Consider the following 13729-nt stretch of genomic DNA (forward strand, 5'->3'; position numbering starts at 1 on the left):
TATATATTCTGTATACAAATTTGTTATCACGTGTGAGTTGTGAATATTTGATCTTAGTCTGTAAATGGACTTTTGCCCACAGTTTTGCTCTGATTTTGTATAAATTTTATGGTTTTAGGTTTTAAGAGTAAGAACTATAGATCTATTTTGCACTAAGTTTTGTACACAATGTGAGATGTGGATTGAATTTTATTTTTGCATATACATATCCAATTGTTCCAGTACGATTCGTCAAAAGACATTCCTTTCTAAAGGCTAAATTGTCATTAAAATTTGTCAAAAATCAATTGACCATTAAGTGTATTATTGGATTATCTATTTTGTACCCTTAATTTATATGTTTATGTTGATGCCAATACCAATACCTTTATTAGTGTAGCTTTATATAATAATAAATATAAAGTCAAGTAGTATAAATCATCAGCATTTATTCCTCCTTTTAAAAACTATGTTGGCTGTTCTAATATTTACATAAATTTTAAAATTTAGCTTACCAGTTTCTAGTTAAAAAAAAAAAGCCAGTTTAAACTTTAATTGGGATTGCACTAAATTTTTACAACAAGTTTTGGAGATTTCACATATGAGTAATATTGAGCTTTCTGATCTATTAATATGGTATGACACATCTTTTATTAAATAGGTCCTTTTTAATTTTCCTTATGACTGTTCTGTAGCTTTCAGTACACAGATATTTTACACTTTTTTGAATATATCCCTAAATATTAGATATTTGTAAAGCTATTATAATTGGTGTCTTCAAATTTCAGCCTCCAATTGTTCATTGCTAGTATATAAGCAATATATTTCCATTTATTGATGGTATACCTTGCAACTTTTCTAAATTCATTAAAAATTTTTGGCCAATTCCAATGGAGTTTTTTATATAGGTGATTTTGCAATCTGTAAATACAGTTTTACTTGTTCTCTCTAAATCTGTAGTTTTTACATTTTTTCTTTGGTTTATTGCAATGGCTAGAATCTCTAATACAATATAAAAAATATTTACAGTAAATTTTCATGCCTTGTATCTGTTAGTTGAAAAATATTTAGCTTTTATCAAATATGTTGTTAATAGTTTTTTTCATAGCTTGAAAAAATTTACTTCTATTTAAGTCTGCTGAGGGCTTTTGTGGTTTTTTTTTGTTTGTGCTCTTTTTTTTTTAAATCAGAAATGGATATTAGATCAACTGCATTGCAAAGATGATCATACAGATTTTTTTCAATCTGTCAATGTGGTATATTGCAGAGGGTTATTTTTAAATGGTAAGCCAACCTTGCATTCTGCCAGGTCCGTCCCACAGGCCCTGGTTGAGCGACGGATGAAAGGAGTACTCAGACACAGGTATGCAGTGTAAGAGCAGCTTGGGGACTGCCTGGCACTAATGGCTGAAGAGTGAGCAGTCTTGAACAGCTGAAGTTGCTTGCTTTTATTCAGTACAGACATAACGCTGAAAGCCTGGAGCCAACACAATCTGTGAGTAATTAACATTACTGTCCCCCCATTCAGGTAGCAGTCTCATGCAGGGATGATCAAAGGTTGGTTTCCAGACAAAATAAGTAAACAAGGCTGTTTACAATAAATTCCCCAACACTTCCTTGTACCTATCCCTCACCCTCTGCCTCAGGGTAAGAGAACAGCTGCCTTCAGCTTATTCTCCACCAAAGTTATGCAGAGCCTTCCAACCTCTCAAAAGGCCTGCTCCTTTCCCTGTAGCTGCTCTCACCACTCTGACAAATCTCCTACATCTCCCCCTTTTCTGTTGTTTGCATCAGGTTTTTTGATTCAAGAGTACAGATGTGTCCAGCAACAGGTTTGACAGGCTTAGCAGTTACAGCTCATGTTCCGGCTTTGCATCCTAGAATTAGTAAATAACATAAGACAAACAATAGCATAATCAGTAATATTCTTTTCCAATCACAGAGTGGTATGTAGCGTTACTTGGCACCTCAGTCCAATGTGTGCTGTTACTAAGGAACCCCACTGAGGGTATGTCAACCCCTCCCAAATACTCAAAAGTATTTGCTCTGTTGGAGCTGCCAGTAAGACATCATCCAGATAATGGATGATCTTGCAATTAGGAAATTCTTTTCTACCGGGGGGCAAAGCCTGATTTGCATGATACTGACACATGGTAGGACTGTCTGGCATTCCTTGAGGAAGTACTTTCCGATGAAATCGGCAAGCTGGGCTTTCATTATTGATGGCTGATATTGTAAACACAAATTTTTCTCTGTCTTGCTTTGAGAGGGGAATAGTATAAAAGCAGTCTTTTAAGCCAATAATGACTACAGGCCAATCTTGAGGAATCACTGCAAGGCAAGGGAGCTCCTGTTGAAGGAGCCCCATAGGTTGCAAATTAGCATTGATAGCATGTAAGTCATGCAAAAGTCTCCATTTATCAGACTTTTTGGGAATGGTGAAAATGGGTGAATTCCAAGGGCTGTTTGATGGTTCTATATGGCCAGCTTTTAATTGTTCCTCTGTAATTTATGGGCTCACTGTAATTTATCTCCCTTTAAAGGCCACTGTTCTACCCAAATAGGATTTTGAAAGAGCCATGTTAGGGGTAGGGGAGGAACTGTGGCCAGTAATAGAAAGGGGTCATAAGGAAATTTTCTGCTATGGCCTCACCTCAATTAATCCTTTTGCAAATGGGATAGTGGCTCCATTTTTTCTAATGCTTTTTCTTATTTCATTGTAAGTGTTGAAAGTAATGGGTTCATATACTAGATTGCTTTGTTGATCTTGCATCACTGGGCAGGCCAAGAGCTCCCCTTGTAATGCTGCTTGCCTAAGACAGGGTCCCATAACTGTAGTGTATCCCTTGTCTTTTTTCCAATTTATTGGAGGAGGGGGCTCTGGTAAAACCTCCATTTCCTCTTTTGTATCTTTACCTGGTAACAGTGGGGCTGAGGGAGGAGGAAGAGGCAGTAAGGTAGGTTATGGTTCCTCCTCCCTTCCCTTTTTAGGTTCTTCTTTGTAGAGCCGGGCCAAAGCATCCCTGACTAATGCCCACAACGTTAAATATATTACTGGGCCCCGTTGCCCTTGTGCATGATGTTGTTTAAGATTTCTCCCCACTTGCTCCCAGAGCTCTAGGTCTAGCGTGCTTTCTTCTGGGAACCATGAGTTATGAAAAACAACAGTTTGCATTAGGTCCCTTAATTGAGCCTGTGAAACCAAGGCTCCACTAGCTTTAAGCAACTGTTTCAATACTTTTATATACTGTTGCTGTTGAGCTGATAACTGTTGTCCCATGATGAATCCCTATCTTGAATATTCCCTTGAACTTGAAAGTCATGAGCAGGCACCAATTATTTACTGACTGTGCAGTCTCTTCACCTTTGTTTTTGAGGGTTCTGTCACAATCCATTGCAGGATTCCTCAAACAGGGCACCATCTGCTGGGTCTGTCCCGCAGACCCCAGCCGAGTGATGGATGAAAGGAGTACTCAGACACAGGTATGTAGTGTAAAAGCAGCTAGGGGACTGCCAGGCATTAATGGCCGAAGAGTGAGCAGTCTCGAACAGCTGACGTTGCTTACTTTTATTCAGTACAGACATAATGCCAAAAACCTGGAGCCAACACAATCTGTGGGTAATTAACATTATTGTTCTTCCATTCAGGGAGCAGTCTTGCACGTGGATGATTCAGACAACGTAAGTAAACAAGCCTGTTTACAAAATATTCCCCCACATTTTCTTGTACCTATTCCTCGCTCTCTGCCTCAGGGTAAGAGAACAGCTGCCTTCAGCTTATTCTCCCCCAAAGCTATGCAGAGCCTTCCAACCTTTCAGAAGGCCTGCTCCTTTCCCTGTAGCTTCTCCCACCACTCTGACAGATCTCCTACAGCACTCATGAGATAATATCCAGTTGGTAAAAATATAGAGTTTATTTTGGTGGTTATGTTCTATAAAGTCAGTGTAAATATTGAGTTATCAAAGATTGACTCATTGCTTTTAGAGGAAATACAGATTTAGCTTCTCGTGTGCCACTGGGAGCAACATTTTCATTGACCAATCAGTACATAGCCTTGTTTTTCATGTGTTTCCGTTTAAGGCCACTTTGCTTAATCAATATTGTGGGTTCATTAAAATTATGACTGTCAACACCATAACTTTAATGAAGCTTATCTAACACACACACACACACACACACACACACACACACACACACACACATTTTCCATTAGCCTTCTTGCAATTTTGCAATTAAGAAATAAGACAGTGGGGTGTTGAAGTTCCCCACAACTATTGTGTGGCTAAGTGTTTTTGTAGGTCTAGAAGTACTTGTTTCATAGACCTGGGTGCTCCAATATTGGGTGGATATATAATTAGGACAGTGAAGTCTTCTTTTTGAATTGAACCCTTTATCATTATGTAATGACCTTAATTGAGCTTTTTTGCTGTTGTTGGTTTAGTCTTTTTTTATCTGATATAAGAAGACCACATAAATTTGTGCTCCATTTGTGTGACAGATCTTTCTCTACTCCTTTACTTTAAGGTATAAGTGTCATTAAATGTGAGATGGGTCTCTTCAAGACAGAGGATGGAGGGGTCTTGTTTTCTTATTCAACTTGCAATTCTGTGTCTTTTAAGAGATAACCTAGGAAACACCATTCTGGACATTGGACTTCAGGATGAATTTATGACTAAAAGCAATTGCACAAAACCAAAAATTGACAAGTGGGACCTACTTACACTAAAGAGTTTCTACAGAGCAAAGGAAATTATCAACATTATAAACAGGCAACCTACAGAAGGAAGGAAATACTCACAAACTGTGCATCCAACAAAGGACTATTATCCACAATCCATAAAGAGCTTAAACAATTCAACAAACAAAACCAAATAACTCCATTAAAAACTAGGCAAAAGACATGAATAGACACTTCTCAAAAGAAGACCTGCAAATGGCCAAGAAATATATGAAGAGGTGCTCAATATCACTAATCATCAGTGAAATGCAAATTAAAACCACAATGAGAAATGGTCTCACACCAATCAGAATGGCAGTTATTAAAAAATCAGAAACAACAGACAAACAAAACATTTGCTAGGAAGGCTATAGACAGAGAAAAGGGAGTACTTATGAACTGTTTTTGGGAATTTAAATTAGTTCAGCCACTATAGAAAGTAGTTTGGGGATTTCTTAAAGAACTTAGAACTACCATTTGACCCAGCAATCCCATTACAAGCTATATATCAAAAGTAAAACAAATCATTCTACTGAAAAGGCACATTCACTCATATGTTCATTGCAGTGCTATTCACAATAGCATAGACATGGAATCAACCTAAGTGCCCATCAATGTTGGATTAGACAAAAAAAACATGAAACATGTACACCATGGAAACCTGTACAGGCATAAAAATTAACAAAATTATGTCCTTTGCAGCAATATGGATGTAGCTGGAAGCCATTATCCTAAGCAAATTAATGCAGAAACAGAAAACCAAATACCGCATGTTATCACTTATAAGTTGGAATTTACTCATGGACATAAAGGTGTCAACAGTAGTCACTGGGGACTACTGACAGGGAGGTAGGGAAAGGTACAAGGGTTCAAACATAAACTGTTGGGTATTATGCTCACTACCTAGGTGATGAGATGATAATAGAAGTTGAACTTATTTAAAAAGTTTTTAAAAAATTTTAAAAACAAAGAAACAAGACAGCACTTCAGCACCATACTCAGGACCATTTTAAACAGCAGTTACCAAGACAATGCACAAAAATTGGATGAGAAAAGCAAACATTCTGCACTACTAAGTAGAAAGATAATAGGACATTTATTTACACTAGGAGAGCAGAAACAAGAAGGTAGAGCATCACTTTAATTTTATCTTAGGTGAGAATATGAGTGTCAGGTAACTCATATTTTTGACCTCTCTGTGCATGTCTATAAATTACTGTAATAGCAGAGTATTAAGTATGAGGTTGATAATAAATTTTAGCCAGTAAGCAAACTAGTAAGTATAAAATCCATGAATAATGAAGACCAACTGTGTACATACTTCTGTATATCGTTGGGGTTTGTTAGCTATACTTAAAAGAATAATTGCATCTGTGGTGATGAAACATATTGGAATGTGATTACATTTTATTTATCTTCTTGATGTATTTATTAGGTAACAGAGTAATGCAGACACCATAAAATAAAAAAGTATGCCCTCCCCCTCAATCTTTTCAAGAAATGTGTAGAATTAGAATGATTTCACTCTTAGTTATTTGGCAAATATTGTTTTCAATATTAATCAGCTGAGTCTTGAGGGAGTTTTTGTTTCTATATTTGTTGAAGGGTTTTAACTGTAAATTTATTTTCTTTAATAATTTAAAGCCCTATTCAAATTATTTATTTCTTCTTGAGTGAGAATTTTTAGTTCATATATTTTAAGTAATATGGCCATTTTATATCGGTTATTGAATTTGTTCACCTAAATTTGTTCATAATATTTTCTTCTTATCCTTTTAATATATGTAGAATCTATCATAATGGCATCTCCTCATTTCTGATACTGGTAAATTGTGTCTTTTCCCTCTTTTTAAACTTGGTTGGGTGAGAGGTTTATAAAATTTATTATCTTCCCAAATAACAGACCTTAATTTCTAAATTGATTTTCTTCATTATTTATGTTTTCAATTTTATTAATTGCCACATGCTTTCTAATATTTTCTTTTTTTGATTACTTTGGGCTTCGTCTATTCTATGTCTGTTTTCTTAAAGTGGAAGCTGAGATAGCTGACTTTTCTTTTTAGATATAAGAATTCAGTGTGATAAATTCCCTCTTATGTATTGCTAAGTTCAAAGCACTTTTTAATTTTATTTTGGACTTCTTAGGTACATAGTAGTATAGACTGCATTGTGTTCTTCTGAAATTCTCATGATGAACTATGAATCCCTGGTGTCTCAGAAAGTGACTATATTTGGAAATAGATCCTTTATAGTGATAATTAAGGTTAATGAAGTCATATGGCTCTATTCCAATCTGACTGGTGTTCTTACAAGAAAAGGAAATTGTAATGTATAAACACCAGGGATGCATTTGCACAGAGGAAAGACCTTGTGAGGACACAGCAAGAAGGTGGCCATCTGCAAGTCAAAGAAAGAGGTCTCAGAAGAAACCAACTGTGAAGACATTGATCTTAGACTTCTAGCCTCCAGAACTGTGAAAAAATAAATTTCTTTTTTTTAAGATAACTAGTGTGTCGTGTTTTGTATGGCAGTCCTAGCAATCTAATATATGTAGGTAATTTAGAAGTGTTATCTAGTTCTAAAATATTTGAAAATTTTGTAGACATCTTTCTGTTGGTGATTTCTTAATTCTACCGTGGTTAGAAAACATAGTCCTTTAACTTGATTGACAGAACTTTTATTCCCCACTACGTGGGCTCTCTTAGCAGTCACCCAGTGTGGACTAGGATAAAATATATTTTTCATGCTTTTTATGTGGAGTAAAAGCAAAAATTTCAATTAGGTCAAGTTGATTGTAGGTGTTGCCCATGATTCGGCTCTCTGTTTGTCTGTTATTGGTGTGTAGGAATGCCTGTGATTTGTGCACATTGATTTTGTATCCTGAGACTTTGCTGAAGTTGCTTATTAGCTTAAGGAGATTTTGGGCTGAGTCAATGGGGTTTTCTAAATACACAATCATGTCATCTGCAAACAGAGACATTTTGACTTCGTCTCTTCCTATGTGAATACTCTTCGTTGCTTTCTCTTGCCTGATTGCCCTGGCCAGGCAATCAATTTGCCAAATCTCTGTCTAGTTGGTCTCTCAATTTTTGAGACAGAGATGTTGAAATCTGCAACAATTATTGTGGATTTGTCTGTTTCTTCCTTCCTTCAGTTCATGCTTCACGTATTTCAAATTTCTGTTATAGGTACATAGTCCTTTAGGATAATTAATTCCTCTGGATAAATTGCCTAATTTATCATTATAAAGCAAGCTTTTTATCCACAGTAATGTTCTTTGCTAAAATCTGCCTTGTCTGGTGTTAGCATTTCTAGCATCCTTTAGTTTGATGTAATTGTGGTATGCCTTTTTGCATTTCTTCACCATTAAATGTGTGTGGCTTTATTATTTAAGTTTGGTTTCTATAGGCATCATATAGTTGGAACTTGCTTTTTTATAATTTAATTTGAAAATCTCTACTTCTTAATTTTGTGTTTATATTACCTACGTTAAATGAGATGAGATTGCTGATGACTGCAGTGCTCAGGGGTTTCATGTGGTGGTTAATCAATCTTCCCAGAGGTGACTTCTCGACTTTTGTCTGATTAATGTCAAAGATGAATCCTAGGAGTTTTAGGCAACATCTAATGCCGAGGCAGTTTATTATGACAGCACTTTTACAAGATGGCTAGCAGGAGCACGTGGGTGGCAAGGGCCACATAAAGTTGGGATTCAGCTGTTCACCTGACTGGGAGAATCTTTGTCTGGAGACCTTCCTCAGAGAATGGAGAGTTTTTCCCTCTTTCTTATACCTGAATTTAATCTGAGTCAGTAATCAGGTGTTTTTCTTTTTTTTTTTTTTTTTTGTAAAGGGAACTTTAACTATTTTTTATTCTATTTTGTCCAGTGTTTGTAAAACTTATATATTTTCTTTCAGTTATTTAAAATTTATTTCAGTATGCAGCATATATCCAGTCCCTATTACTCTATCTTGTTTGGAGATGGAGGCCTATTTTAATAATGATTTGAAGCAGCTATTATAAATGTATTCAAGGATTCAACTTGCTTAGTGAATATCATCAAAGAACAGATAGGAATCCTAAGCTGAGAAATGAAAACTATGTAAAATAACCAAATGAAAAATTTAAAAATAAAAAATTCAATATCTAAACATTCAAAAATTAATTTGATGGGAGTAACAGCAGAGTGGAGATTACTGAAAAAACATGGTCGGTAAACATGATCATAGATAATACATATTATCCAATCTGAAAGACAGAGAAAAATATTTGAAAACAAAATGCAGATTGTCAGGGACCTGAAGTACTATATCAATAGGTCTAAAATATATGTACTATTTGCCCATATATAACTTAAAAATATAAAGCTATACATTGAAAATTTGCAAAGAGGTAAAAGAATGCTAGAGTTTATGTATGTGTGTGTGTTAAGTTCTGGGTTACATGTGCAGAATGTGCAGTTTTGTTACGTAGGTATACATGTGGCATGGTGGTTTGCTGCACCCATCAACCCGTAACCTACATTAGGTATTTCTCCTAGTGATATCCTTCCCTTAGCCCCACACCCCCCCACAGACCTTGGTGTGTGATATTCCCCTCCCTGTGTCCATGTGTTCTCATTGTTCAACTCTCACTTATGAGTGAGAACATACAGTGTTTGGTTTTCTGATATTGTGATAGTTTACTGAGAATGATGGTTTCCAGCTTCATCTATGTTCCTGCAAAGGACATGAACTCATCCTTTTTTATGGCTGCATAGTATTCCATGGTGTATATGTACCACATTTTCTTAATCCAGTCTGTCATTGATGGACATTTGGGTTGGCTCCAAGTCTTTGCTATTGTGAACAGTGCCACAATAAACATATGTGTGCCTGTCTCTTTATCGTAGAATGATTTACAATCCTTTGGGTATACGCCCAGTAATGGGATTGCTCGGTCAAATGGTATTTCTAGTTTTAAATCCTTGAGGAATTGCCACACTGTCTTCCATAGCAGTTAAACTAATTTACACTCCCACCGACAGTGTAAAATCATTCCTATTTTTCCACAATCTCTCCAGCATCTGTTTAACTTTTTAATGATAGCCATTCTAACTGGCGTGAGATGGTATCTCATTGTGGTTTTGATTTGCATTTCTCTGATGACTAGTGATGATGAGCATTTTTTCATATGTCTGTTGACTGCATAAATGTCTTCTTTTGAGAAGTGTCTGTTCATATCCTTTGTCCATTTTTTGGTGGGATTGTTTGCTTTTTTCTTGTATATTTGTTTAAGTTCTTTGTAGATTCTGGATATTAGCCCTTTGTCAGATGGATAGATTGCAAAAATTTTCTCCCAATCCGTAGGGTGCCTGTTCACTCTGATGATAGTTTCTTTTGCTGTGAAGAAGCCCTTTAGTTTAATTAGATCTCATTTGTCTATTTTGGCTTTTGTTGCCATTGCTTTTGGTGTTTTAGACGTGAAATCTTTGCCCATGCCTATGTTCTGAATGGTACTGTCCAGGTTTTCTTCTAGGATTTTTATGGTCCTAGGTCTTACGTTTAAGTCTTTGATCCATCTTGAGTTGATTTTTCTATAAGGTGTAAGGAAGGGGTCCAGATTGAGTTTTCTGCATATGGCTAGCCAGTTTTCCCAACACCATTTATTAAATAAGGAATCTTTTCTCCATTGCTTCTGTGTGTCAGGTTTGTCAAAGATCAGATGGTGGTAGACGTGTGGCGTTATTTCTGAGGCCTCCATTCTATTCCATTGGTCTATATATCTGTTATGGTACCAGCACCATGCTGTTTTGGTTACTGTAGCCTTGTCATATAGTTGAAGTCAGGTAACGTGATAACTCCAGCTTTGTTCTTCTTGCCCAGGATTGTCTTAGCTATGTGGGCTGTTTTTTGATTTCATATGAAGAGTAGCTTTTTCCAATTCTGTGAAGAAAGTCAGTGGTAGCTTGATGGGAATACCATTGAATCTATAAATTACTTTGAGCAGTAAGGTCATTTTCATGGTATTGATTCTTCCTATCCATGATCATGGAATGTTTTTCCATTTGTTTGTGTCCTCTCTCATTTTCTTGAGCAGTGTTTTGAGGAGGTCCTTCACATCCCTTGCAAGTTGTATTTCTAGGTATCTTATTCTCTTTGTAGGAATTGTGAATGGGAGTTCACTCATGATTCGGCTCTCTGTTTGTCTGTTATTGGTGTATAGGAATGCGTGTGATTTTTGCACATTGATTTTGTATCCTGAGATTTTGCTGAAGTTGCTTATTAGCTTAAGGAGATTTTGGGCTGAGATGATGGGGTTTTCTAAATATACAATCATGTCATCTGCAAACAGAGACATTTCAACTTCCTCTCTTCCTATTTGAATACACTTTGTTGCTTTCTCTTGCCTAATTGCCCTGGCCAGAACTTCCAATACTGTGTTGAAATAGGAGTGGTGAGAGAGGGGATCCTTGTCTTGTGCTGGTTTTCAAAGGAAATGCTTTCAGTTTTTGCGCATTTAGTATTATATTGGCTGTGGGTTTGTCATAAATACCTCTTATTATTTAAAGATACGTTCCATCAATACCTAGTTTATTGAGTGTTTTAAGCATTAAAGGCTGTTGAATTTTGTCGAAGGCCTTTTCTGCATCTATTGAGATAATCATGTGTTTTTTGTCATTGGATCTGTTTATGTGATGGACTACATTTATTGATTTGCATATGTTGAATCAGCCTTGCATCCCAGGGATGAAGCCAACTTGATTATGATGCATAAACTTTTTTACGTGCTACTGGATTCAGTTTGCCAGTATTTTATTAATGATTTTCACTTAGATTTTCATCAGGGATATTGGCCTAAAATTGTCTTTTGTGTGTGTGTGTGTATGTGTGTGCGTGTGTGTGTGTGTGTGTGTGTGTGTCTGCCAGGCTTTGGTCAGGATGATGCTGGCCTCATAAAATGAATTAGGGAGGATTCCCTCTTTTTCTATTGATCAGAATAGTTTCAGAAGGAATGGTACCAGCTCCTCTTTGTACCTTCGGCAGAATTCGGCTGTGAATTCTGCCGGTCCTGGACTTTTTGTGGTTGGTAGGCTATTAATTATTGCCTCAATTTCAGAATCTGTTATTGGTCTATTCTGAGATTTAATTTCTTCCTGGTTTAGTCTTGGGAGGGTGTATGTGTCGAGGAATTTATCCATTTCTTCTAGATTTTATAGTTTATTTCATAGAGGTGTTTATAGTATTCTCTGTTTGTAGTTTGTATTTCTGTGAGATCAGTGGTGATATCCCCTTTATCATTTTTTATTGTGTCTATTTGATCCTTCTCTCTTTTCTTATTTCTTAATCTTGCTAGAGGTCTATCAATTTTGTTGATCTTTTCAAAAAACCAGATCCTGGATTCACTGACTTTTTTGAAGGGTTTTTTTGTCTCCAACCTCAGTTGGAAATGCAGAAATCACTCGTCATCTGCGTCGATCTCCCTGGGAGATGCAGACCAGAGCTGTTCGTATTTGGCCACCTTGGAAGCGACCATAGGATTTTCTATACTATTACTTTGTTTGGGTGACGTTGAGAAGTTACTGTCATCTGTTCTTATAAGTAAAATGTATTAACATAAAAACTTGTAACTCTTTATAATATGCATAATTTGAGCATATATATCGCTAAAATCCCCATCACCTACAAATGCAATATTTAAATTATCTATACCATAAAGACTCAGAACATGGAGCCCTACTGAAGCATTAATAAAATAAATGACTCTTTTTAAATATTTTTGAACATAACTTTAAAATTAAATTGTTTTAGATTTGTTGAAAGAAATAATTCTCATTCAGGATATATTATTAATACACACTTAAAAATTAAGAGAAAAACTCTAGTGTTCTTGGAATAAAATAATCATTTCTATTACTTGTTATTTTATTCTGAAAGCAATAGACTTTCTTTAGAAAGTGAATTTTATAAAGTATATAGACTATTGAAAACCTACTGAATTGATCACTCTGAAAGTGACCATGAAGCAATTATCTTAAATTTAAATCTAACAGGGTTAAAACAATTTCTGAGCATGGCATATTGATAAATATTGGATACAATCTGCATTATAAACTAATGTAAATGTTATAGATTTGTGTGTTTGCTATTTTACTGTTGCACATATTCTATATACCTATATTCCTTTAGCATATATTTAAACATTGTTATAAATGTTTTTTGCTTAATTTACCCAAGATTTTAAGATATTTAAAGAAGAAAAATTAAGGAAGGGACAATGAAAATGTTATATTATGGGTTTTATGAAATGAATTAAGATTACAAAAGTAGTATTGAGTTGGCGGCTTTCACAGGATTGTTTGGAAAATGAATGGAGTCAGGAGTATTGCAACATAATACAATATTTGAAACATGATCAAACGTGGGAGTTGGTAGAAAGAATTGGCAATGGAAGAATACTGCTATGGCTTGAATAATGCTGTTTCCTGAACAATTCTTGTAAAAAATTAATCCTTAAGGCAACAGAGTTGACAGATGTGGCCGTTAGTAGACAATTGTATCACAAAGCCTCTATCCTCATAAATGGGATTGGTATGCTTATAAAAGAGTTCAAGGTTAAAGCAAGTGCCCTCTTACCTTTCTAATATATAAAGATACAATGTTCTTTCCCTCTGGGGGAAGCAACAACAAAGTGCTGTTTTGAAAGGAGGGATGTCAATCATGCTGCTATAAAGACACATGCACATGTATGTTTATAGCGGCACTATTCACAATAGCAAAGAATTGGAACCAACCTAAATGTCCAACAACGATGGACTGGATTAAGAAAATGTAGCACATATACACCATGGAATACTATGCAGCCATAAAAAATGATGAGTTCATGTCCTTTGTAGGGACATGGATGAATCTGGAAACCATCATTCTCAGCAAACTATCGCAAGGACAAAAACCAAACACCGCATGTTCTCACTCATAGGTGGGAATTGAAATATGAGAACACATGGACACAGGCAGGGGAACATCACACACCAAGGACTGTTGTGGGGTGGG

This window comes from Homo sapiens, chromosome 4, assembly GCF_000001405.40.
Source record: "Homo sapiens chromosome 4, GRCh38.p14 Primary Assembly".
Lineage (NCBI taxonomy): Eukaryota > Metazoa > Chordata > Mammalia > Primates > Hominidae > Homo > Homo sapiens.